General features: G+C 37.6%; 2 annotated features.

Moving 5' to 3' along the window:
* Positions 4,750-5,748: an enhancer, noted in NCBI's record as "OCT4-NANOG-H3K27ac hESC enhancer chr10:16285307-16286305 (GRCh37/hg19 assembly coordinates)". NCBI's record gives its function as "activates a minimal SCP1, AML or CMV promoter by ChIP-STARR-seq in naive H9 embryonic stem cells {active_cell/tissue: H9 hESC(naive)}" and the evidence as "EXISTENCE:reporter gene assay evidence [ECO:0000049][PMID:30033119]".
* Positions 5,749-6,747: an enhancer, noted in NCBI's record as "OCT4-NANOG-H3K27ac hESC enhancer chr10:16284308-16285306 (GRCh37/hg19 assembly coordinates)". NCBI's record gives its function as "activates a minimal SCP1, AML or CMV promoter by ChIP-STARR-seq in naive and primed H9 embryonic stem cells {active_cell/tissue: H9 hESC(naive and primed)}" and the evidence as "EXISTENCE:reporter gene assay evidence [ECO:0000049][PMID:30033119]".

Below are 27,945 nucleotides of genomic sequence, written 5' to 3'. Positions count from 1 at the left end.
TCTTTCCACCATTGATGGGCATCCAGTTGATTCCGTATCTTTGCTATCATGACAGTGCTGCAGTGAACACACAAATGCATGTGTCTTAATGGTAGAATGATTTGTTTTGTTTTAGATATATACTAAGTAGTGGGATTGCTGGATCAAATGGTAGTTTATGTTGTAAGTTCGTTGATAAATCTCTAAACTCCTTTCCCCACCGGCTAATTTACATTCCTACCAACAGTGTATAAGGGTTCCATTTTCTGTTCAGCCTTACTGGCATCCATTGGTTTTTGACTTTTTAATAATAGCTGTTCTGACTGATATGGATGCTGTCTCATTGTGGTTTTGATTTGCGTTTCTCTGATGATGAGCAATGTTGAGCTTTTTTTCATAATGTTTGTTGGCCGCTTGTATGTCTTCTTTTGAGAGCTATCTGTTCATGTCCTTTGCCCATTTTTTAATGGGGTTATTTGTTTTTGCTGATTTGTTTAAGTTCCTATAGATTCTGGATATTAGACCTTTGTTGGAGGGACAGTTTGCAAATATTTTCTCCCGTTCTTAGGTTGTCTGTTTACTCTGTTGTTAGTTTCTTTTAATGTGTAGAAGCTCTTTGGTTTAGTTAGGTTCGGCTTACAATTTTTGTTTTTCTTGCAATTGCTTTTGGAGTCTTAGTCATAAAATCTTTGCCAGAGCCTTTGTCCAGGATGGTGTTTTCCTAGGTTTACTTCCAAGATTCTTACAGTTTTAGGTCTTACTTTTAAATCTTTAATCCATCTTGAGTTAATTTTTATATATGGTAAAAGGTAGAAGTCCAGTTTCAGTCTTTTGCATGTGGCTAACCAACTATCCCAACACCATTTATTAAATGGGGAGTTCTTTCCCCATTTTTTATTTTTGTCAACTTTGTCAAAGACTAGATAGCTGTAGGTGTGTGGCTTTATTTCTGTGTTCTCTAACGTGTTTGTCTATATGTCTGTTTTTGTACCAGCATCAAGCTATTTTGGTTACTGTAGCCCTGTAGTATAGCTTGAAATTGGGTACTGTGATGCCTCCGGCTTTGGTTTTTTTTTTTTTTTTTTTTTTTTTTTTTTTGCTTAGGATTGCTTTGGTTATTCAAAGTCTTTTTTGGTTTCATGTGAATTTTACCATAGTTTTTCTTTTTTTAATTACAATTCTATGTAAAATGACATTGATAGTTTGATAGGAATAGCATTTAATCTATAGATTGCTTTGGGCAGTATAGCCATTTTAAAATATTTTTCCATTTGTTTGTGTCATCTATGGTTTCTTTAAACAGTGTTTTGTAGTCCTTGTAGAGATATTTTGCCTCCTTGGTGAGATGTTTTCCTAGGTATTTTATTTTTTGTGTGATTATTGTAAATGGGATTGAATTCTTGATTTGTCTTTTAGCTTGGACACTTTTCATGTATGGAAATGCTACTGACTTTTGTACATTGATTTTGTATCTTGAAACCTTGCTAAGATAGTTTATCAGTTCTAATAGCGTTTTTGCGGAGTTCTTAGGGTTTTTAAAGTATAGAATCATATTGTCAATGAGAAGAGAGAGTTTTACTTCTTATTTTCCTATTTGGATGCCTTTTATTTCTTTCTCTTGCCTGAGTGTTTTGGCTGGCACTTCCAGTACTGTGTTGAATAGGACTGTTTGTGTGTTTTGGTAGTTTGTGTTTCTCAAGGAAATGGTCTATTTCATCTAAATTGTTAAATTTATGGGAATAGAGTTTGTCATAGTTTTCTTTATTTTCCTTTTAATGTTTATGGGATCAGTATTAATGACCTCTCTTTCATTTCTAAATTGTGTCTTTTTTTTCTGTTAGCTTTGGTAGAAGTTTATCAATTTTATTGTTTCAGTGAACCAGTTTTTAGTTTGATTAAATTTACGTGTTGTTTTCCTATATTTATTTTTACTGATTTCTGCTCTAATTTTTATTATTTCTTTTCTTATGTTTGGTTAGGCTTAAGTTGCTCTTCTTCTTCTAGTTTCCTAAGATATAAGCTTATATTATTGCTTTTAGAGCATTTTTTCCATTCTATATGCAATTAATGCTGTGTGTTTTCTTTTAAGCATTATCTTTGCTGCATCCCACAAAGTTAAGTTATACTTTATTTACATTTAGTTAAAATATTTAAAAATTACTTTTGAGGCTTCTTTATGTGTTATTTGGGAGTGTGTTCTTTAATTTTCAGATGTTTGAGGATTATCAAGCCATCTTTCTGTTGATTTCTAGCTTAATTTCACTGTTATCTGAGAACACTGTATGATTTATAAGTTTTAAAAGATATATTCTATGGTCCAGAATGTCATCTATCTTGGTCAATGTTCCATGATAACTTGAAGAAAATGTGTATTCTGCTCTTTTTAAAATTGAGTATACTATAATTGTCAATAAGTTCAAGTTGATTAATAGTGTTGTTCAGTTCAACTCTATCTTCACTGGTTTTCTGCCTATATGATCTATCGGTCACTGACAGTGGGTGTTGATAGGTGATACAGACCAACTCCTTGACAGACACAAGCTACTAAAACACGCAAGGAGTCATATTCAACACAGTACTGGAAGTAATCTACCAGTTATTGACAGGGGATGTTGAAATGTGCCTATTTTGGCCAGGCACGGTTGCTCAAGCCTGTAATTGCAGCACTTTAGGAGGCCAAGGCAGGCGGATCACTTGAGGTCAGGAGTTTGAGACAAGCCTGGCCAACATGGTAAAACCTTGTCTCTACTAAAATTACAGGTAATCCTAGCTACTTGGGAGGCGGAGGCAGGAGAACCGTTTGAACCCGGGAGGCGGAGGTTGCGGTGAGCTGAGACTGCGCCGTTGCACTCCAGCCTGGGCAACAAGAGCAAAACTCCATTTCAGAAAAGAAAGAAAGAAAGAAATATGCCTATTTCTCCGTTCAGTTTTATCAGTTTGGCGGTCATTTATTGTTAAGTTTATTTTGTCTGAAAGTAATATAGCTACTCCAGTTTTCTTCTCATTACTGTCAGTATGGTATATCCTTCCCTGTCCCTTTACTTTTAACATGCCTTTATATTTAAAGTGGATTTGTTATAGACAACGTAGAATTATGAATTGTTCTTATTGTCTGTAATTACTTTGATATTCTCTTTTAATGTATTTATAGCACTTATATTTAAAGTAGTTATTGATGTAATTGAATTAATAGCAATCATGTTTGCAACTGTTTTGTATTGATTGGCAGGGCTTCTGCCTTTTCTGGTTTTAAATGAGCATTGTACGTTGTCTTGTTTTGTCTCTTTCTTAGCATATCACTTATCCTTCTTTAAAATGTTTTTAATGCTTTCCCTAGAATTTACAATATTCACTTTTACTAATCTAAGTCCACCTTCAAGGGACACTATTCTGCTTCAAGTATAGGTCAGGTTCCTTATAGTAGAGCATCCCTAATCCCTTCCTCCTGTTTCTTGTGACATTGCTGTCATTCATTTCACCTGTCAATATGCTGTACTATCCCAATACGTTGTTACTATTGTTATTTTAAACAGAGTTAGCTCTTACATCAATTAATAAGAAAAATAAAATATTTTGCCTTTATTTTTTCTATTATGCTATGCCTTTTGTCACGTATATCCAAATTTTTGACATGTGTCATTTTCCTTCTTTACAAAGAAAACTTTTCCCCATTTCATCTCAGGGAATCAGAAACGGAGGGAATTTATTAGTGGTGAGTTCCATCAGTTTTTGATTGTCTGAGAGTCTTATTTATGCCTCCCTTTGAAGGATAATTTTGCTGGAATTCTGGTTGGTACTTTTGTTTTCAACAGTCACTACTTCACTCTACTTTCTCCTTGCTTGCATGATTTCTGATTTTTTTTTTAATCTGCTGTAAATCTTACCTTGTTCTTCTAGAGGTAAGGTGTATTTTTCCTGTCTCAAGAATTTATTTTGGTTTTTAGTCTCCTGCAATTTGAATATAATATGCCCAGTGGGTTTCTTTTTTAAAATTTTTAAATTTAAATTTAAAAAATTTTTGAATTTGTGTAGTCCAAAATTCTGAAAAGTTCTCAGCTATTACTTCAAAATTCATTTTGCTTCATTTGATACTTCTTCTAGTATTCCAATTATGCATATACTAGATCTTTCAAATTGTCCCATAGTTCTTGGATATTGTCATCTATTTCTTTATCCTTTCTTTCCTTTTGCATTTTAGTTTTAAAAGTTTCTATTGACCGCTCACTAATTCTTTAGACTTCTAAGTGTTAGAGAGACTATCAAAGGTATTCTTTATTTCAGTGCAGTATTTTTATTTGTAGCATTTCCTTTCATGCTTTTCTTAAAACTTCCATTGCTCTGCTTATATTACAGGCCTTTTTTTTTTTTTTTTTTTTTTTTTTCCTGACAGCATCTTGCTCTATTGCCCAGGCTGGAGTGCAGTGGCATGATCTCAGCTCACTGCTATCTCTGCCTCCCAGGTTCAAGTGATTCTCCTGCCTCAGCCTCCCCAGTAGCTGGGATTACAAGTGTGGGGCACCATCCTGGCTAATTTTCGTATTTTTTAGTGCAGACAGGGTTTCGCCATGTTGGCCAGGCTGGTCTCAAACTCCTGACCTCAGGTGATCCACCCACCTCAGCCTCCCAAAGTGATTACAGGCATGAGCCACCATTAGAGCCGTTAGCATATTCATCATAGTTATTTTAAATTGCCTGTGTAATAACTCCTATTTTGTGTCAAATCTGAGTCTGATTCTGATGTTTTGTGTGATAGGAATTGAGGTCAATAAGTCTTAAGTGTGAGATTTTTATTCATCTGGTTTGGATTGGGCTTCATGTTTTCTGTAGCTTTATATACTAGATATTGCAAATTCCTCTTCCTTCTTGATTTTGTGTATCTCTAAGTACTCCTACTCAGAAAGAATCTGTCTTGGAGCACTTTTAGCTGTAATCTACTGTTAGTATATGGGAGTCCTATTGGTGTGGGAATAAATATGGAAGAGAAGGATTATTCTATAATATTCCAATTAAATATCAGCCTTATAGTAGGCCAATGTCTCTGGCTTGTGACTTCCACAAGGTTGTTTGTTGTTGTTGTTGTTGCTGCTGCTGTTGTTTTTGGTATAGGGTATTAGCTTGTATGTAATATTGTTTAAGTGTGTCCCGCCAAAAGCAAGTGTTGGAAACTTAATCCCCAAAGCAACAGCATTGGGGGGGTGAGGCCTAAAGGGAGATGTTTAGGGCATAAGGGCCCCACTTTCATAAGTAAATTCACGCCAATGATAAAAGCACTTGAAGCTGTGAGTTTGATCTCTTATTACCGCTCTTGCTCTTCTGCCTTTGCCGTGGGATGACACAGCATGAAGACCCTCACAAGATGCTGGCACCTTGATATTGGACTTCCTAGCCTCCAGAATTGTGAGCCAATTACATTCCTGTTCATTATAAATTGCCCTGTATATAGCATGCTATTACAGCAACACTAAACAAACTAAGATACCAGGGTTGCCATAACAAGGTAAAACAGACTGGATGGCTTAAACAGCAGAGATTTATTTTTTGAAATTCTGGAGCCTGGAAGTCTAAGATCAAGGTGTGGGCATGGTTGGTTTCTTGTGGAGCCTGTTTCCTTGACTTATAGATGGCCATCTTCTTCCTGTATCTTTCTTTTGTGTGTGTCAGTGCCCTAATCTTTTCCTTTAAGGACATCAGTAATGTTGGTTAGGGCCCACCCTAATGACCTCATTTTAAATTAATTACCTCTTCAAAGACTCTATCTCTAAATACAGCCACATTCTAAGGTACTAGGGGTTAGGAGTTCAACATATAAATTTGGGGGGAACATTGTGAATTATAGGGAGACACAAATCATCCTGTAACATATAGATTACTCCTGTCTTCCCATAGATGTGACAGAAGAGCTAGAGGAGACTGGAATGAGAGGAATGTCCTCCCCCATGGCTCTTGAATAGGCTCTGATGAATTCTTTTAACCTGGAGAGTAGGCTTTTGTTATGGAGAAAGCTCTGGGTGCATTTCAAGGCTTACTCTTCTCTTCTCCCTGCTAGAGCCATAAACAGCTCTTTCTTGGACTTCATCTGGTAGGGTTTCTAAAAGTAAAGCCCAGAAAAATGTAGGAGTCTTCTAAGACCATAGCTTCCAGGACTTTCTCATTGTCATGTGAGTCCACACTCAGCCTCCAGCAATTCATGAAAATTATCATGTAAGCATTCATACCAGTTTATAACTCCAGTGGCTTCTGCCTCAGTTAAGCAGATCCAGGCTGTCTACATTCACCTGTCTTTCCAAATTTCAAAGTGTCGGTTTGTCCTGCAAATTCAGTTCTCGGATGGGTCCAAGAAATGTCATAATTTTCAGTTCGTTCAACTTTATCTTGTTGCAAAAAAGGGAGTTGCAATGGTTAATTGAATATGTGAACTTGACTGAGCCCCACAGTGCCCAGATATTTGGTCAAACATTAGTCTGGGAGTTTCTGTCAGGTTGTTTTGGGATGAGATTAACATTTAAACTAGCAGAATGAATAAATCAGATTCCCCTCACTCATGTAGGAGAATCTTCTCCAATTAGTGGAATGCCTGAATAGAAAAAAAACTAGACCTCCCCCAAGTAAGAAAATCCTTCCTGTCTGTCTAACTTCTAACTGGGATGTGGGCTTCTTCTTCCCATCATACTGAAACATCAACTCTTTCTGCGTTGCTAACCTGTTGGCCTTCAGACTGGAGCTATATCATTGGCTCTCCTGAGTTTCTAGCTTGCCAATTCCTGCTGCAGATTTTGTGGCTTCTCAGTCTTAATAATTATGTGATAAATCTTTATAATAAATCACTCTTTGTTTCTGTTTCTCTCTTTGTGTGTGTGTGTGTGTATACATATATATTATATATATATATATTTTTTTTTTTGAGATGGAGTCTTGCTCTGTCGCTTAGGCTGGAGTGCAGTGGCATGATCTCGGCTCACTGCAAGCTCTGCCTCCTGGGTTCACGCCATTCTCCTGCCTCAGCCTCCCAAGTAGCTGGGAGTACAGGCACCCATCACCATGCCCGGCTAATTTTTTTGTGTATTTTTTTAGTAGAGACGGGGTTTCACTGTGTTAGCCAGGATGGCCTCGATCTCCTGACCTCGTGATCTGCCTGCCTTGGCCTCCGAAAGTGCTGGGTTTATAGGCATGAGCCACTGTACTTGGCCATATGTATATATGTTTGATACATACACATACACACACATATTATTGGTTATATTTCTCTGGAGAATCTTGACTAATACAGGAGTAATGATGTCTAAGCTCTTTACATATTGGAGATAAAATTGGAAGTTCTGATTATATATTAAATTATTTACTGAGAATTAAAAATAAAAAGACACTGCAACTGTCCCCAAATAGATGTGTCTCTTTTCTCCCTGCTGTATGAGAAACTCCAACATTTTAGAAATTTTGTTTATACTTTTTGATGATTTTGTGAATTACATATATAATATTATTAAATTTTTGGAATATGAATCTACTTGTCCAATTTTATTACATTGTATTAAGCTTTATCACAACTATTTAGTTTTAACTCTACATTATATAGACAGTTAAACTGTTCATGTTTAATTTTTTTCTACCATGACTTAACAGGTTTTTTATTTGGATTGATCTCTCAGATAGCTGAACTATATCTGACTAGATATTTCAGGAAGAATTTCTGGTTGCTATAATTTCCAGGTCCTTGAATGATTAAGAATATTCTGGTTTCCTTCACACACAATCACTAGCTAGTTTGGGAATGAAATTTTTGTACTTATTCTGCCCTAAAAACTCTGTAGACTTTGCCTTATGACTTCTGCCATTTAGTGTGCAGAGAAGTTTGAGGTCCCCTAAGAGTTTTTGCTTTGATAGGTGACTTCTTTTTGCTGCCTGGATGGTTCTAATATTTTTTATCCTTGAGATTCAAAAGTTTCATCAAGATATGTCTGGATGTTGGTCTCCTGTCATTAATTTTGTCTGTAATTCCTGACCCTTTCAATTTTAATACTCAAGTGTTCCTACTAGACAGGAAATTTTTTTAATTATGAAATATTTAAAGCATAAAGATAGAGAATAAGATTTTATAATACATACTCCTTTCTACCACTCAGTTTTAATAAATTATCACATTTTGCCACATATGCCATCAATAATTTTGTAATATACAAAATTGTACACTGATGATTGAAATTTGTTGTGTATCCTTCTATCCATTTCTCTTTTAAACCTAAATGTAAACTAGTCTGATTTTTATATCTATATTATATATTTCTTTATCATATATATATGAATTCAAAGATATCTAAGTTACTATATTACATTTTTAACTTTACATATGGAATCATATTGTGCATATGTTTCTGAATTTTTTTCCAGTTTATGCTGTTTTTGAGACTTTCCTATGATGGTAGCTGTACAGGTATAAGAGTTTCTTTAGATTTTTGTACCAAGAAGTGGAATTCCTTATGCTAGGCATGACTGTCTTCAATAATAATATTAAGGAGCTAACCCTTATATAGTTTTTATTATTTCCTAGGCACTATTTTTGTTTTTGCTTGTTTGTTTTGTTGTTGTTGTTGTTGTTGAGACAGGGTCTCAGCTGTTGCCCAGGCTGGAGTCCAGTGGCGTGATCTTGGCTCACTGCAGCTTCTGCCTCCCGGGCTTCTCCTACCTCAGCCTCCTGAGTAGTTAGGATGACAGGCACTTGCAACCATGCCCAGCTAATTTTTTTGTTTTTTTTGGTATTTTTGGTGGAGATGGGGTGTATTTGTCCGTTTTCATGCTGATGGTGAAGGCATACCCAAGACTGGGCAATTTAAAAAGGAAAGAGTTTTAATGAAGAACTCGCACTTCCACATGGCTGGGGAAGCCTCACAATCATGGCAGAAGGCAAGGAGGAGCAAGTCACATCTTACATAGATGGCAGCAGGTAAAAAGAGAGCTTGTGCAGGGAAACTCCCCCTTTTAAAACCATGAGATCTCATGAGACTCATGCACTATCATGAGAACAGTGGAGGAAGAGACCCACCCCCATAATTCAGTCACCTCCCACCTGGCTCCTCCCACTAACACATGGGAATTCAAGATGATATTTGGGTGGGGACACAGCCAAACCATATCATGGGGTTTCACCATGTGGCCCAGGCAGGTCTCGAACTCCTGAGCTCAAGTGATCCTCCCGCCTTTGCCTGCCAAAGTGCTCGGATTACAGGCATGAGTCACTGTGCCTGGCCCACTAGGCACTATTCTAAATACTTAACCTATATAGACTCATTTAGCTTTTCAGAACAACTCTCAGGTTTAAGGTCACATAGATATAAGTGAGAGAACCCGGATAATCTTTTCCAGAGTCTGCACATTTCATTTATTGGGCAAAATGTTTTCTACTTCTTGATTGAATTGTAGTATTCTTTTTTCCAGAAATTTGTTTTGTCTGAGTTTTCAATTTTTTCTTGTTTTTCATTATATGTTTTTATTATCTTTATCACTTCTGCTGTATATGTATTTATGTCTATTTTTAGATTTCTAATATTACACATTTTCTCTTCTTTGAACATATGAAATATGATTATAATAATAGGCACTTTAATATCCTTGCATGATAATTCTAGCATCTCTATCAGTTCTGGGCTGGTTTCCACTTACTACTTTTTCTCCTTATTATGAGTCAAATTTTCCTCCTTCTTTTCATACTTGATAATCTTTAACTGGATGCCAAACATTGAGACTCTTATCTGATATATTTATATTCTGATAAATATTTTTGAACATTGATCCGGGATGCTGTTAGGTTTTGTGACAACAGAGTCATCCTTTTGGGTCTTGCTTCATAGATTTGTTAGGAGATACCATGGCTTCTGATTTAGTCTTGGGCTAATTCCTCAGCACTGAGGCAACACTCTTCTGCGTACCATAATCAGTGCCCCATGAATGATGAAGTTTTCCAGTCTGAATGGTGGAAGGAGGCACTATTCCAACCATGTCTTGTGAGAGTTCTAACTACTGGTCTCTCTAATTCTTGGGATGGTCTTTTCCCCAGCCTCAGAGAGGATCCTTTTGCATGTACATGGGTCAAAATATTGGAGGAAGACCCTTCGCAGATCTCTAGAGTTCCCTCTCTATGCAGCTCCGTCCTTTCTGGTGTGCTGTCCTGCAAACTCTGGCTGCCCTTGGTCTCCTTGGATTCTCAACTCTATCTCTTCCTATCAAGGAGAATTCCACCTGGGTTCAATCTCTCTAAACTACTGCCTGGAAACTCAAAATTGCTGGGGCAATCATAGGACTCACTTTGTTTGTTTCCCGTTATTCAGAGACCTCTGTTCACACTGCCTGGTTGATATCCAGAGTCTTGAAAACCATTATTTTAAATATTTCTTCTGTTTTTGGTCATTTTATGTGGAGGAATAAATTTAGCTTTTGTCATACCATTTTGGGTTGAAGTAAAAGTTGTCCTCTTCCAGAGAAATTTGAATTATTTGTTTTCTTGTTGTTGAGTTTTGACAATTTTTTATGTTTTCTGGCTACAAGTTCTTGGTCAGAAAGGAGATTAGCAAATATTTTCTCCCCACCTGTAAGTTGTCTTTTCATTCTCTTAATACTAAGAAAAAGTTCTAAATTTTAATAAGTTTATATTATAAAAGTTTTCTTTAACAGATAGTACTTTACGCATATGTCTAAAAATCTTTTGCTAACTTCAAGGATGCAAAGAGTTTCTCTAAATTTTTCTTCTAGAAGTACTACTTTTATGTTCCATATCTGGTCAATTTTGAGTTAGTTGTGCTATAAAGTATGGTGGAGATTCCTTTCTTTTGCATATGAAAATCCAGTTTGTCCAGCATCATTTCTTGAAAAAACACTCTTGTATTAAATTATTTTTGTGCCTTTGTCAAAAGTTATTTGACTATATTTGTATGATTCTATTTCTCTTCTCTCTGTTCCAATGACCTATGTGCCTCTCTGTTTGCCAGTATCATGATGACTTGATAGTAAGTCTATATAGCTTTATAGTAATGTAAAGTCTTTATAGTTATTCTTGAAATTAGGTAGTACGAGACCTCCAACTTCATCTTTATATTTCCAAATTGCTTGACATTCTAGTTCCTTTTCCTTTTCATATAAATTTTGAAATCATGTTGTTATCTATAAAAAATTTGGCTGGTGTTTTGATTAAGTTTGTATTGAATCTATGGATCCATTTGGGAGACTTGACTTCTTAACAATATTTAGAAGTTGACTTCTTCTGTTTTATGAACATGTGATACCTCTTTATTTAAGTCTTTGATTTCTTTCATTGGTATTTTATAGTTGTCAGCTTACAGATTTCACATGTATTTTGTTACATTTATAAGAAATTTTGGTGACATTTAAATGATAATTTTAAAAATTTCAAATTCAGTGTTTATTTTTTCAGTGCATAGAATTATAGTAAGTATGTAAATATATGTGACCTTTTATCCTGAGAACTTTTAAGAACTTTTATCCTAATCACTTTTTAGTTTTTTGTAGATGATTTTAGATTTTTCTACCTAGAAAAATCATATCATCTGTGAATAAAGACAGTTTTATTTCATTCTTCCCAGAATCATGTCCTTTTTATGCCCTTTTAATCATGTCTTGTTGCAATGGTTAGGACTTCCAATATGATATTGAATAGGAGCTATAAAAGAGAATATCTTGTATTTGTTCTCATGGTATGGGAAGAACATTTAATTTTTCACCATTAAAATTGATGTTAGCTGATGTTTATTCTTATTCTCTCTCTCTCCCCAACTTTAATTTTTGTAAATGTTTCTTATCAGGCTAACTAATTTCATTCTTAAGTTACCGAGGTTTTTTTTTTTTTAAAGGATGTGGATTTTATCAAATACTTTTCCTGTAATTATTGAGATAGTCATATAGATTTTCTCTTTCATCTGTTAAAATGATGAATACATTGATTTTCAAATTTTGAGGACTACTTTAATTTAGTTCCTGTATTCGAGGTGTCCTGGATCTTACAGTAAGTATAAGTTTGAGTAAGTTACAGTAAGTGTAAGTGTTAAGCATTCAGGATCAGCCAATGGTTAGAGCTTCTCACGGAAAACTTCCCTGTGTTCTATGGAGCTATGTCAGACACAGATCTTTTTGTTTTCCTGATGAAGATAGATTTTGTTTCCCCCCAAGCCCACCTTTTTTACTGAAAGTAAAATCACTTTCAGGGTATGCAACTTTACGCAGAGTTCTCAAGTTCAGGTACCTGTCAGGAGTTGGCACAAGTGTCATTACACACTGATGTCTGATTTTATTTTATTTTCCAGGCATTTGCTCCTAGAGCATTATTGGTTTCCAAGATCTTTTATCATTCTGATTTAATAATCTAGGTTTATCTTTTTTAAATTCCTGGGATTTTTTTTCTTAGATTATTGAAAATGTTATGATGCAATTTAAGTATGTTTCTCAGACTTTGGCATTTTGGTGTTTTTCAGTTGGATATCTTTTCAGAAGATTTAAACTACTGACTGTCAAGAGTGATTGCCCTGGTTTGTTGATTTTATTACTTCATTTAAACTTTTGATCATAGTTTTAAGTGTAACTCTTTAGAACAACAGATAACTTTTTTGCTTTTAAATCTATCCTGAGAATCTCTGTCTTTCAGCAGATCAATGTAATCCATTTATATTACATTTATTATTGATACAGTCAGACTCTTTCCTTTGGTTTATTTTATCAGTGTCTGCCTTGGATATTCTGAAGATCCCAGTCAATTGCCTCTGCCAAGAATGTAACTTTTCTTTTTTCGCTAGAGAATTCTTTGGCATAAGAAACCCAAAGCGTCCAGGTAGCTATTATAGCTGAAAGCTCAATGAGATTCTTGCTGTGACTCCTATAGGAAGTATCGGCCTCTTTTTGGGAACCAAGACTTGTAAACCTGCAGAGGCCAGAGTTGTAATAGACAAGAAGCCCAAATTCTTAAGTGGGATACTGGAAGTAATGATGAGCAGGACCACTCCTTCCACCCTTTGCTCCTGTGTTTTCTACCTGTTGGAGACCTGGAATCATTCAATAATCACTGATTGATATGGTTTGGCTGTGCCCCACCCAAAATCATCTTGAATTGTGAGCCCCGTAATCCTCATAATCCCCATGTCAAGGGCGGGACCAGGTGAAGGAAATTAGATCATGGGGATGCTTTCCCCCATGCTGTTCTCATGATAGTGAGTCTCATGAGATCTGATGGTTTTATAAGCATCTGGAATTTCCCCTGCTTGCTCTCACTCTGTCCTGCTGCCCTATGAAGAAGATACCTGCTTCTCCTTTGCCTCCTGCCATAATTGTAAGTTTCCTGAGGCATCCCCAGCAATGCATAATTGTGAGTCAATTAAACCTCTTTCCTTTGTAAATTATCCAGTCTTGGGTATTTCTTCATAGTAGTATGAGAACAGACTAATATATAGGGTATATGTTCCACCCTAGAGAATGGTGCCTCCCTTGGTAGATACCTCTGAGTTGATACCTTAGCTATGTTCTCAACAGACCATTTCATTACTCTATTAAGACAGTAGTAGCTTCTGGGTGATGTGGAATATGATATTACCAGGGAATTTGTGGTCAGGTACAGACTTATGAACCTCTTTTGTGTAAAGTGGGCCGCTTAGTCTAGTTCAAAGACTTGTGGGGGCCTGTGCCGCTGGGCTCATAGATAGCTTCCATCTCTGCCACCAGGTAACTCGGTTCACATGCTCACTTTGCCAGCATCAGCATGGCCAAGGGCAGATGCTCTCTGACATTCACTGGCCACATTATTTTTTTGTACTTGGCTTCTTCATGCACCTTACATGCTAGACGCTTTCTGGCAGGCGATACCATGCAGTCAAAGATCTCTACATTTCATGCCCACTCCTGCAGGCCAATCCACAGACCTCTTCCCAGAACTCCTTGTCTCTAATCTAATCTTTTTCCTTCCAGACTCTAGACCATCTGGCCAACTCATTTGCCACTGACTATAAATCTGTATATATTCTTATCTCAGATTTTGCTCACTAAATGAATGATCAGACTCACTGCTTGAGGCTTTGCCCATTGGGAGGACTTCCTGGACTACAGCATTTCTTTCTAAGCCAACCCTGAATAGGGCAGCAGAGAAGGTGCTGTCCATTGTTGGTTTGCACCCATATACTGAGCCAACCCATTAGCTTTCTTTCCTCCTCCTTCCTATCAGTTACTCATAAAAGTTCCCGTAATTGCACTAGGCTGCTGGTAAGTTACATACATCCCTTGACTTGCTGTAATGGGACTGTCTTCTCCAGAATATAAGCTCCTATAAGAGAGATTTGTTTGGTTCACTGATATATCCCCAATTATTATGCAGCACCTGGCTCAATAAATATTGGTTGAAAGGATAACTGTTCTGAATGGAATATTTTGTTCCCTTTTACTCCTCAGGAGCTTTCACTACCTGCTTCTAACCTGGAAACAACTTACTACTTAGTATTTCTATTTCCTTTGATGTTCATGTAGATTTTTTATATGGAGTTCCACCTGTGTCTTTTGGTTTTCTCTCATTATACTTTATTGTTGGTATTTGGAAGGAGAGTGCACACAGCAGAAAATTACTTCACAATTTTTATCAGAAGTTACTTTATAACTTCTTTGGGGTGTTTTTTATTTGTTATTTTTCTTCCTTGGAAAGATTATTGTATGATATATTGGGATTTGTATCACCTTTTCCATGATTATTTAAATATACTCATTTTTTTTGCTCTTTTCATCATTTTCTGCTGACTTTTGGAAGGAATGCTAACACTTATCTAATACACAGCTCTGTTTCAGTAGTATTCAATTTGCTGTTTCATGACTTTGTTGATCTTTTTGCTGTTTCATGACTTTGATCTTTTTAAATACAGAAATGGTGTATTTATGTCCTCCTGTCTTTACTGATTTTAGTTTGTTCATTTATGATTGTCTGGACTAGTTTCCTAATTATTTTCATTGTAAAATTAATATGTGCCTCACATATTTTCCAGGTGCATAAATGAATTATATTATTTGAAATGCACAATAATCCTATTTGGTAAATATTAACACCCCAATTTACAAGTTGAAAAATTGAGACAGGACAGTTTTAGTGATTTACTGATGATCATAAGTAGCAGAGCTGAGCTTTAAACTTGTTAAAGCACACAGAGTCGTAACCACTACTCTACATTGCCTGGAAGTAAGTAGTCACTTCTTTTGATTTTCTTGAGAAAATAGATTAGAAAATGGCTCAGTTGTTCTGTTTCCTGCAGCAAGGATTTGGTAGAAGACTTTCATGTTGATTCCTCTGTATGCTCCCTTGTCTTTGGACTTCAACACCTTTTCACATATCTATGACCTGCCCCCTCCAAAGTTATATCCATGGCTAGTGTTGCAAGCCAGTTTGGTTTTTCTCTCGGCTATTGTGACCCCTGTTCAAATACTCCAGACCTTGTAGACTGGGGAAGAAGGAATCTGTGGGTTTATTCTGGTCTTGTGTCATACTTCAGACATCCGGCAACTTGTGGAGAAAAGTGGGAAATAAGAATGGAAGAGTTGCAACCAAGAGGTCACCTTCTCTGCTCAAGGGTCTCTTTTCCACATTTGACATGGCAGCTGTAGTCTTTACCCAGCCCAACTGGTGGGTAAAGACTTTACAGGGCCCCTCTAACTGTGCAATAGGGACTCCTATTGCAAATGAAAATTGAGTAAGCATCACTTTGGGTTTCCAGTTAGATATGTACTGTGCTGCCCGGCATATCTCCCAGGCATATCTCCCAGGTCTGATGAGACTGAGAGGAAGTTCCCAATTGACCCACAGCCTACACTTATTTAAGATTTTGCCTGTCTAATTAGGGAAGGCTGGTGGAGTTTCACCACAGAGCCTCTGAGGCAAACCATGACTTTTCATGCAGGCAGTACATCATCAGGATAGTCCTCATCTTTGATTCAGTTTCATTTGCAGAAATATCCAAAAGTTTCAGGTGTGAATCTAGAGTATCTACTATCCAGCAAATAATATAGTTTGTCCTCTTTTTTTTTTTTAATTCCGCTTTAATAGGAATCAAGAAAAGTTGTCTAGAAGAGTTAGATACATTTACTCAAATTCGCTCTTTTACTCAGAATTCTAAGTTACCATTAGGTGAAAATTACACTATAACTTTTGAAATTTTCCAGATGCGGTGTTCTCAAGTTTCCAGTTAATAGTTGCATCCATGTGATGAGAGAGGACTTTGAGTTTTGGCAAGGCCCTTGCAAACACTGTTCATAGAACTCCTGTAAATTCAACAGAAGGCATGATTAGGAGGGTTTACTCCTGGCAGATGTGGGGTCTTAGCAGAAGCACAGAAGGAAGAAGCTAGCTTCAACTGTCTGAAACTGGCTGTGTTGGAAAGGCTGTGCTGAGATGAGCAATCTATTTAGAATGACTGCTGCTCATCTTTTTAACAAGATAATCATCTGACAGCAACATGGAAAAGCAGATGTAGCATTTTAAGGGATATACGGCTTTTTGAACTCCACATGCTTTCAAACTCTGATATTATTTCCAATGAACCCTAAAGTCAAAGGAATAATCACTTTGAAATTCTTGCACAATGGGAAGCCCTGAAGGAAGCTGAACATCTGATTTTCACTAAAGGAGAATCCTGAAAGCAAAGCATCCTATAAATTGGAATTTTTGCTTCCTCTGTTGTCTTCCATAGGGTCTCTTGCCGCTTTGCTAAATATCAAAGATATTTATGCTTAAACAAATGTTGTCTCCCTCTCACTGCATTCCCTCCTTCTGGCAGAGAAGTCATCACACTGAATCGGTGGCTCTTTCCCATGGCAACAGACTGTGATGTCAGAAATGTGGTGCCAAGCAATTAGATTTTGTAGGTGCCACAGTTGGAAACATGAAACTCCAAGGATGATGGTGAGACAGAGCAGTTGTTGTAGAAGAAAAAACTCAGGAAGGACTGAGTGTCTAATGTGTTCTCTCAAAGGCCTGTTGCTGAAGGAGGGTGGCAGCAAATGAAGTCGGAGAGGGGAAGAGGGATACAGTGTTCAAGACAAGATTTCAAAGGAGAAGCAAGTTGATGATGGAGAGTTGCAAAAGGCCACGTCCAGATGGCTGGCACTCTGCCACGTGCCGTGGCTTTGATGCTTTACAGGTGTTCTCTAAGGCGTCGAAGGCGGAAGCTCCAGGGACCTGCTGTCTGTCATTGAAACAGCCAGAGGACTCAGGACCCAGAGAAAGAGCAAACTCCCTCTCCTTTCATTCCCTTCCGCTCTTGTAGGAATGTGGGAACTTTCACAGTTTTGCTGTTTTCAAGAAAACGGCACCTTGACAACATGACCTTTGAGACCTACAAGCTGAGGGAGCTGTAGGGAGAAGGATGATCTGAGATGGGCAACAAAAACCTTCCAAGAGGAGGCAATGGGTGAGGACCCTTCATGTTGCCAATAGGAGCGATCTGGGAATATTTTGAAATGGACTTTTAAAAAAGCTGAGTCTGTTTTTTGGAGGTTCTTTGTCAAATACACAAGAGAATGAAACCCATACCTGTGAAAAATCATAGATGAAGTTTTAAAATACACATTTCAGTGATACAGTATGGATAAATTTGGACTGCATATGGCTTCTTATGTAAAAGAAAATTTCTTCTCCTTTTAGTAACACATTGTCGGCTGCCTGTGCTTTGCACCTTCTGCCATAAGCTCCTTAAAACAAGCTGCTGCAATTCAAGAACTAGCCCTAGTAATTAAGATCAAATGAGCCAGATGAAGAAAATGAGCTGGGTGAAACACATGCCAGTGGAACCCAGCCTTTTCATATTTAAAAAGAGAGCCAGAAAAGAAAGAAAAACAGCTATTTGTCGATGGACTATGTGGAGGATTTAGATGCAGTCTCTACTCAGGATTATTGTTAACATTTATACGTATATTTTAAATGATTCTGGGCTTGATTGATTAGCTCTTGTGAAATACAGTGGATGTGGGCCGGGCATGGTGGCTCACGCCTGTAATCCCAGCACTTTGGGAGGCCAAGGTGGGTGGATCACGAGGTCAGGAGTTCGAGACCAGCCTGACCAACATGGTGAAACCCTGTCTCTACTAAAAATACAAAAATTAGCTGGGCATGGTGGCGCATGCCTGTAATCCCAGCTACTCAGTAGGCTGAGGCAGGAGAATCGCTTGAACCCAGGAGGCGGAGGTTGCAATGAGCCGAGATTGCGCCATTGCACTCCAGCCTGGGTGACAGAACGAGACTCCATATCAGAAAAAAAGAAAAAGAAATACAGTGGATGTCACTGGATCCCAGGGCATTCCTGTGGAATAAAAATAGTAGTACTGAAAACTCAACTAAATGCAATTTATTTCAGGAAAAAAAAAAACAACAACATGGAGCAAATTTTTAATTTTTTGGAGGTTAAAAATTTTGGAGATTAACCTTAAAGGACTTTGGAGATACTCAGCCTTTTATCTTCATGTTATAAACTGAGAAGATGAGATTCAGAGAGAGAGAATACCTTCCCTTTGGCCACTGAGATAGAGACAGAGCTCAGATTAGGACGTGTGGTTTTTGACTCACTATTTCAGCAATTTTCTAACTTGCGTGTGTATCAGAAACCACTGGAGGGCTTGTTAAAATACAGATCACTGGGAAAAACTTCAGACTTTCTCATTCAGCAGGTCTATGTTAGTCAGAGTGTATACATTTCCTTTCCAAACAAGTTTCTAGGTGAAGCTGAGGCACTCAGCTTCTATAATCCACTCTTGAGGAACCACTGGTTTTGTTCTTTTTTTCTTTACATTGGGATTTCTTAAAGTGTAGGGTGACCTATATCAGAATCACCAGGAGAGGTAGTTATTATAAATATAGATTATATAGTGCATGTCAGAGTTACTGAATCAGAATCTCTGGAGGTAAGAGGCTGGTGTCTCCATTTTACACTGCTGGTAAATTTCTATATATGCCAAAATTTAAAAATCATAATACCTAACCACACTGCTGCACTTCAAAAAGTCAAAGACCAAACTTTCCAGTGAGGTGATGAAATTCACAGAGTTGCTGAACTTGTACTCCATCCTCTGAAAACTCCAAGTACATAGCCAAAGGGATGAAGAAAAATTAAAAAGCTGCATCCAAGGTGGAAAAATGAGAAGGGTGTCATACCTGTACCAAACACTTCGAGGATTTTTGGTGAGATATTGTACAAATGAGAACTAACTGAGCAAAATGTTAAAGAGACATCTTAGCATCTAGAGAAAGCACTACACTGGTAGGGTAAGTCAGGATTTATATATATATATATGCCAGCCGGGAGCGGTGGCTCATGCCTGTAATCCCAGCACTTTGGGAGGTCAAGGTGGGTAGATCATGAGGTCAGGAGATCAAGACCATCCTGGCGAACTTGGTGAAACCCCATCTCTACTAAAAATACAAAAATTAGCCGGCTGCGGCAGTGCATGCCTATAGTCCCAGCCGCTCGGGAGGCTGAGGCAGAATTGCTTGAACCCAGGAGGCAAAGGCTGCAGTGAGCAGAGATGACAACACTCCACTCCAGCCTGGGCGACAGAGCGAGACTCTGTCTCAAAAAAAAAAAAAAAAAAAAAAAGTCAGAGCCCCACTAATACTCACTAACAATAGGGGAGGAAGTGGAAGCTAATATGAGGCAGAGAGTGTAAGATGTGAAACCCCTTCCCCCACTTGGAATAAGCTGCATTCTACAGAAGTAGCATGGAGATTCCTGGGTTTCCATGGTAATGGCCCACAGAGAGTCAGTTGTACGTGAGGGTCTCACGACTTAGCCAAAGTACCAGGTGGGCTAAGTGAGGTATGGAGGCCTGGAAGCACCAGCCCAACAGTTTTGCTTGGTAACAATTACAAAGGAAAAACTGCTCAGAGATAGGATTCCTCTGCTCGGGGCTCCCCATATTCCAGGCTTTATCTACAGTTACACAGGCTGAGCGATAACTGAACTGAAAATTTTACTAATCAGCCTGGTGGTTTAAGCCCTGCAGGAAGATTGTAACTTCAAATTGGTGGATTGTGAGGGAATTCAGGGAGTGCACATCTGCCTGACATAGGAGGAAACCCAAGTCTGGATGAACTTTTTCTGCTTTGCTATGAGACCCAAGATATATCAATAAAGTTGTTAATCGTTCATGATAAAAATAGAAAGCTATTCTGAAATATGTGAGGGTTCATAGAGGAAACACACCTGTGCTCTTTCTAAAAATAAGGCGTATTACAGCTAACCAAATAATGAATATGACAAGAAATATTCCAATAGAAAAACAGGCAAGAAGCCTGAATAGGCAATTCACAGAAAACAAAAATAAACATATGAAAAAATCTTGTTTCACTAAAGAAATGTAAATTTAAACAATGAGATGCCAACTTTTTGCCCACCATTTTTGCAAAAATTTTTAAAAGTGGAAACATTGAAAAACATATGAGGAAATAGGCATTTATATTCTTCTGGAGAAATTGTAGGGAATTTAGAATATAATCTGAGAAGGCAACTTTATAATATACATCAAAAGTCATAGGCGTTTATACTTTTTTTTTTTTTTTTTTTTTTTTTTTTTGAGACAAGGTCTCACTCTGTCGCCCAGGCTGGAGTGCAGTGGTGTGATCTCGGCTCACTGCAACCTCCACCTCCCGGGTTCAAGAGATTCTCCTGTCTCAGCCTCCCGAGTAGCTGGGATTAGAGGCACGTGCCACAATGCCCAGCTAATTTTTGTGTTTTTAGTGGAGATGGTGCTTTACCATGTTGGCCAGGCTAGTGTTTATACCTTTGAACTGATAATTCCATTTCTAGTAATTAATTCTAAATCAGCAATAATAATAAGAGACACAAAAAGATTTACAGGTAAGGATGTGCATTTATATTAGCGTATAGCTTGAAACAACTTAAATATCCAAATATATGATATAGTTAAATGAAAAGCAGTATGGAGTTTCTTCAAAAACTCAAAAATAGAATTAGCATATGATTCAGCAGCCCCATTTCTGGATATATATGCAAAAGAGTTGAAATCAGTATGTCAAAGAGATATCTGCACTCCTGTGTTCATTTCAGCATCATTCATAATAGCCAAGATATAGAAGCAACCTAAGTGTTCATCAACAAATGAATGAGTAAAGAAAATGTGATAGATATATATACACAAAAGAATATTATACAGCCCGGAAAAAGGAAAATTCTGTCATTACGACAACATGGATTCTGCCTTGGGGACATTATGTTAAGTGAAATAAGTCAGACACAGAAAGGCAAATACCACATAATCTTACTGTGTTGGCCCATTTTGCATTGCTATAAAGGAACACTTGAGGCTGAGTAATTTATCAAGGAAGAGGTTTATTTGGCTTGCAGTTTTACACGCTGTCCAAGAAGCATGGTGCCAGTATCTGCTTCTGGTGAGTCCTCAGGAAGTTTCCAATCATGGTGGAAGGTGAAGGGCGAGCAGACACATTACTCGATGAGAGGGGGAGCAACGATGAGAGGAGAGAGGTGCCAGTCTCTTTAACCAGATTTGGTATGAGCTCATTATCACAGGGAAGGCACCAAGTCATTCAAGATGGATCCGCCCCCATGGCCCAAACACCTCCCATCAGGCCCTGCCTCCAACACTAGGGATCACATTACAACATGAGGTTTGGAAGGGACAAGCATCCAAACTATATCACTCACTTATATGTGGAATCTAGAAAAATAAATCTCATAGAAACAGAGTAGAATGGTGGCTACCTGAGGCTTGAGAGGAGGAAAAGGGAGATATTGATCAAAGAGTGCCAAGTTTCATTTAGGCAAGAGGAATTAGTTTTGGTGATCTATTGCACAGCATGCTGACTATAATGAATAATAACATCTTGTATATTTCAGAATTGCTAAGAGAGTAGATTTAAATGTTTTCAGTGTAAAAATATAAGTAGGTGAGGTGATGGTTATGTTAGTTTATTTATTTTTAATTTATTATTTTTTTTTGAGATGGAATTTCACTCTTGTTGCCCTTGCTGGAGTGGAGTGGCACAATCTCAGCTCACTGCAACATCCGCCTTCTGGGTTCAGGTGATGCTCCTGCCTCAGCCTCCCGAGGAGCTGGGATTACAGGTGCCTGCCACCATGCACGGCTAATGTTTTTTTGTGTGTGTATTTTTAGTAGATACAGGGTTTCACTGTGTTGGCCAGGCTGGTCTTGAACTCCTGACCTCAAGTGACCCACCTGCCTCGGCCTCCCAAAGTGCTGGGATTACAGGTGTGAGCCACTGTGCCCAGCCTGTTAGTTTGATTTAATCTTTCTATAATACATATATCTATATCTCAAAACATCACATTATACCCTATAAATATTTACAATTATTGTTTTTCAACTAGATACATAAATTAATTTAAACACTTAAAATAGTGCTACATATCTAAAGTGAACCACCACACTGCCATAGCAGTTCCTGAAGAGTATTTAAGGATATAAAGCATGCTCACCATTTTAAAATGATACATTAGTTTAGTAAATTATATAACAAGTTTACATAAAAACTCAATATGTATGAAAGAAAAAGGACTAAAAGGATATACAGCAAAATTTTCTGTATTTTCCACACTTTGTACAGTGACAACACTTTTTTGATAGTTTAAAAATATTGAAAATAGTCAATGCCTGGTTATATGAATTATTCTACATTATTACAGTGGAATACTATTAAAAACTGTTAAAAAGACAGAAGCAATGTATGGTTATTGATACAGAATAATCACAAAATTAATTATTAGGTAAAAAAAGTGAAAAATAGTGTATGACTATGTTAAGAAATAAGAATTTTAAAACAAGTCGGCTGGGCACAGTGGCTCACGCCTGTAATCCTAGCACTTTGGGAGGCCAAGGTGGGTGGATCACCTGAGGTCAGGAGTTCAAGAACAGCCTGGCCAACATGGTGAAACCCTGTCTCTACTAAAAATGCAAAAATTAACTGGGTGTGGCAGCGGGCACCTGTAATCCCAGCTATTTGGGAGGCTGAGGCAGGATAAGTGCTTGAATCCAGGAGGTGGAGTTTGCAGTCAGCCAAAAACGCGCCACTGTACTCCAGCCTGGGAGACAGAGCGAGAATCCGTCTCAAAAAAAAAAAAAAAAAAATAGAATTTTAAAACAAGTCAGATAGAGCTAACACCGACTACATTCTCACTCCAAGCATACAGAAATGGTGAATAAAATATAGTAATCAGAATTATTTTCTATATGTATGAAGCTCACAAAAAAGCGGGGGGAGTCCCTTTTCAAGAAATTAAGAGGAAATGGAAATCAAGTCACTAGGTTCACAAAATGAGAAATCTGCCATGATCTGTGGGAGTATTAGACTTAGAGGTTTTAAAGATTAGGGTCTGAGGTTTTAATGTCAATGTAGTGATAGACAATGTAGCCTTAGCACCCAAGAGAATGATCTGGAAATAATATCCCTTCAGTAACGTTAGAATAGTTAGTTGCTCCTTTGTGGATCAGGGACTATAAAAGCATTTAAATTAGAGAACAAAAATTTTGCCTTAAGATTATGGGTAAAAAATAACAGTACCCTTAGAGTAATTGAAACCTCAAACATGTGGCATATTCGCTATGGAGTCTGAATTTACAATGACATCATAGTTCAAAAATTCGAACTTGAGAAATTAACATAAAACTGGTTTTTGTCCAGGGAACTTCTAGGGTCAGCTGGCAAAGGCATATGTAAACTCACTCTGTTGGGACATTTCCATAGAAACTGTTTTAGAAACTTTAGACTCCTTCTAACAAAGCAGACTTTGGAAACAACAACATTAACTTTCAAAGAATTTGAGGTAAGAGAACAACCTGAAAAAGACTTTCAGAAGAGCTTTAAAAATGTTTAGGCTGGGGATGGTGGCTTATGTCTGTAATCCCAGCATTTTGGGAGCCTGAGGACAGAGGATCACTTGAAGCTAGGAGTTCAAAACTAACCTGGGAAACATATCGAGACTCTGTCTCTACAAAAATTTTTAAAAATCAGTTGGGCATGCTGGCACGTGCTTGCAGCCCCAGTTACTTGGGAGCCTGAGGTGGGAGGATTGCTTGAGCCCAGGAGTTCAAAGTTAGAGTTAGCTATGATTATGCCACTGCACTCCAACCTGTCTGACAGAGTGAGGCCTCAGCACTGGAAAAAAAAAAAAAAAGTATAGGATGGTAGGTATTAAACAGGGCCATTGAATGAAACAGTTTTCAAAATGAAAATGAGGTACATTTTTAGAATTGGTGAATTGAAATATATATTTGAGGACGTTGCACAAAATGCAGTTCTGAAGCTGATGAAGAGACATGAAGGATAGAGTGAAAAGTTCCAACATGAATCTTACTGTAGGACCTTAAAGACAGAAGAGAGCTAGTGGGGGATAGACTGGGAATTTGTAAAGTGACATAAGACTTTCTTTTAAAGAGTATAATAAAAATAATTCCCCATCTAGACTCATCATAGTAAAGCTGCAGCTCACCAAAGGTAGACAGAAAAGTTAAAAATCATCATCATAAATTATAATAAATGAAAAGAGACATGGTAAATAGAAAATGAAATAAATTTAACTATACTAGTAATCCCAATAAAGGTGAACAAATGTATTTACTAAAAGATATTTAAATGTGTCCATTTAAACAGCATATACATATATATATACATTTTTAAAAGTTTAAAAAGTAAAGGGATAAAAAGATGGGAAAAAATTCTGGCAAACACAGAACATAATAAAGTTGTATAGGGATATTACAATCACCCAAGCAAAAAAATTAACCACAACAAAACAATAGGGAAAGGATTCCCTATTTAATAAATGGTACTGGGAGAACTGGCTAGCCATACACAGAAAATTGAAACTGGACCCCTTCTTTACACCTTATACAAAAATTAACTCGAGATGGATTAAAGACTTAAATGTAAAACCCCAAACTATAAAAACCCTAGTAGAAAATCTAGGCAATACCATTCAGGACATAGGAATGGGCAAAGATTTCATGACAAAGACACCAAAAGCAATCACCACAAAAGCAAAAATTGACAAATAGGATCTAATTAAACTAGAAAGTTCCTGGACCCCAAAAGAAACTATCATGAGAGCAAACAAACAACCCCATTAAAAAGTGGGCAAAGGACATGAACAGACACTTCTCAAAAGAAGGCATTTTTCTGGCCAAGAAACATGAAGAAAAGCTCAACATCACTGATAGAGAAATGCAAATCAAAACCACAATGAGATACCATCTCACAGCAGTCAGAATGGTAATTAGAATGCTTTTACACTGTTGGTAGGAATGTAAATTAGTTCAACCATTGTGGAAGACAGTGTGGCAATTCTTCAGAGACCTAGAAGCAGACATACCATTTGACCCAGCAATCCCATTACTGGATATATACCGAAAGGAATATAAATTATTCTATTATAAAGATACATGCATACATATGTTCATTGCAGCACTATTCACAATAGCAAAGACATGGAATCAACTGTTGTGGGGAGTCAGGGACCCTGAATGGAGGGACCAGCTGGAGCCACAGCAGAGGAACATAAACTGTGAAGATTTCATTTTAATATGGACACATATCAGTTCCCAGAATTAATACTCTTATAATTTCTTGCGCCTATCTTACTTTAATCTCTTAATCCTGTTATCTTCGTAAGCTGAGGATGTATGTCCACCACAGGACCACTGTTGTGTTAAACTGCACAAACTGATTGTAAAACATGTGTGATTGTAAATCAGTGCACCTTGAAAATGAACGGAATAACAGCGATTTCAGGGAACAAGGGAAGACAACCATAAGGTCTGACTGCCTGCAGGGTCAGGCAGAATAGAGCCATATTTTTCTTCTTGCAGAGAGCCTATAAATGGATGTGCGAGTAGGAGAGATATCACTAAATTCTTTTCCTAGAAAGGAATATTAATAGTAAGAACCTAGGAAAAGAATTGTATTCCTGGGGGGAGGTCTATAAACGGCTGCTCTGGGAGTGTCTGTCTTATGCAGTTAAGATAACGATTGAAATACTACGCCCTGGTCTCCTGCAGTACCCTCAGGCTTATTAGGGTGCGGAAAAAACCCCACCCTGGTGAATTTGAGGTCAGACCAGTTCTCTGCTGTCGAACCCTGTTGTCTGTTAAGATGTTTGTCAAGACAGTACATGCACCACTGAACATAGACCCTTATCAGGAGTTTCTGATTTTGCCCTGGTCCTGTTTTCCCAAAAGCACATGATCTTTGTTCTCCTTTTTGCCCTTTGAAGCATGTGATCTTTGTGACCTACTCCCTGTTCATACACCCCCTCCCATTTTGAAGTCCTTAATAAAAACCTGCTGGTTTTGCGGCTCAGGTGGGTATCATGGACCTACCGATATGTGATGTCACCCCCAGTGGCCCAGCTGTAAAATTTCTCTCTTTGTACTCTTTCTCTTTATTGCTCAGACTGGCTGACACTTAGGGAAAATAGGACCTACGTTGAAATATTGGGGGCGGGTTCCCCCGATAATCCACCCAAATGCCCATCAGTGATGGACTGGATAATGTGGTACCTATGCAGCATGGAATGCTATGCAGCCATAAAAAAGAATGAGATAATGTCCTTTGCAGGTACATGGATGGAGCTGGAAGCTATTATCCTCGGCAAACTAATGCAGGAACAGAACACCAAACACCAGGTTTTCACTCATAAGTGGAACCTGAACAATGAAAACATATGGACACAAGGAAGGGAACAACACACACTGGAGACTGTTGGTTGGGGTCAGGGGGTGGAAGAACAACAGGATAAATAGCTAATGCATGTGGGGCTTAATAGCTAAGTGATGGATTGATTGGTGCAGCAAAGCACCATGGCACATGTTTCCCTATGTATCAACTTGTACATCCTGCATATGCACCCTGGAACTTAATTTTTTTTAAAAGGTTATCAATTAAAAAAGATATCTAAAACATGTATTTTAAATTTTTAAACTTTAAAAAATAACTCAAGGTTCTCAGAAAAATCAGAAAATCAAAGCCTCACAAATAGTAAAGTATATATTAAATATCAGAACAAATGATGATTTTTATGGCAGTATATTTAGGAATATTAGAAAATTTAAAAAATGGAGAATAAATGCGTATAAGTGCCTCACTTAAGATATTAATAAAACAGGCTGGGCACAATGGCTCACGCCTGTAATCCCAACACTTTGGGAGGCCAAGGCAGGCAGATCACGAGGTCAGGAGATCGAGACCATAGCTAACATGGTGGAACACCATCTGTACTAAAAATACAAAAAAACAAAATTAGCCGGGCATGGTGGTGGGTGCCTGTAGTCCCAGCTACTCGGGAGGCTGGGGCAGGAGAATGGCATGAACCCAGGATGTGGAGCTTGCAGTGAGCCGAGATCGCACCACTATACTCCAGCCTGGGCAACAGAGCAAGACTCCGTCTCAAAATAAATAAATAATAAAAAAAAATAAAACAGCACAGTAAATCTAAAGAAAACAAAAAATATAAGACAATGAATAATATGAAATTTAAAAAAACCTAATAGGACACAACCAAAAATCATTTAAAGGAATTAATGACACAGCCAAATCTATGTTTTAAAACATTTTGAAAAGTTTAATGAGACTGAAAATAAGAATTTGGGCCGAAAATTAGAAGCTCTTAGAATGGAAATCATTGAAATTAGGTACTAAATGGATGGATCTAAATTGATGTAATAGTAAATTACAGAGAATTGGTTAAGAGGATAACTCCAAAAAATACATTAAGAATAAAGCATAGAGAAAAAAAGGAATAGAAAAATAATAGAACTGGATACACAATGACATAAAAGATACAGTGAGAAAGTCTAGGAAATATGCAAATATCCAGAAAAGAAAGAATGGGCAGAAGCAACGTTTGAAGACATTATGGCTGGGAATTTTCTCAAACGAATGGAAGACATCAAGCCACAGAGTCAAGGAGC

Source organism: Homo sapiens, chromosome 10, assembly GCF_000001405.40.
Source record: "Homo sapiens chromosome 10, GRCh38.p14 Primary Assembly".
NCBI classification, from domain to species: Eukaryota; Metazoa; Chordata; class Mammalia; order Primates; family Hominidae; genus Homo; species Homo sapiens.
This window is presented reverse-complemented; position numbering and strand designations above follow the sequence as displayed.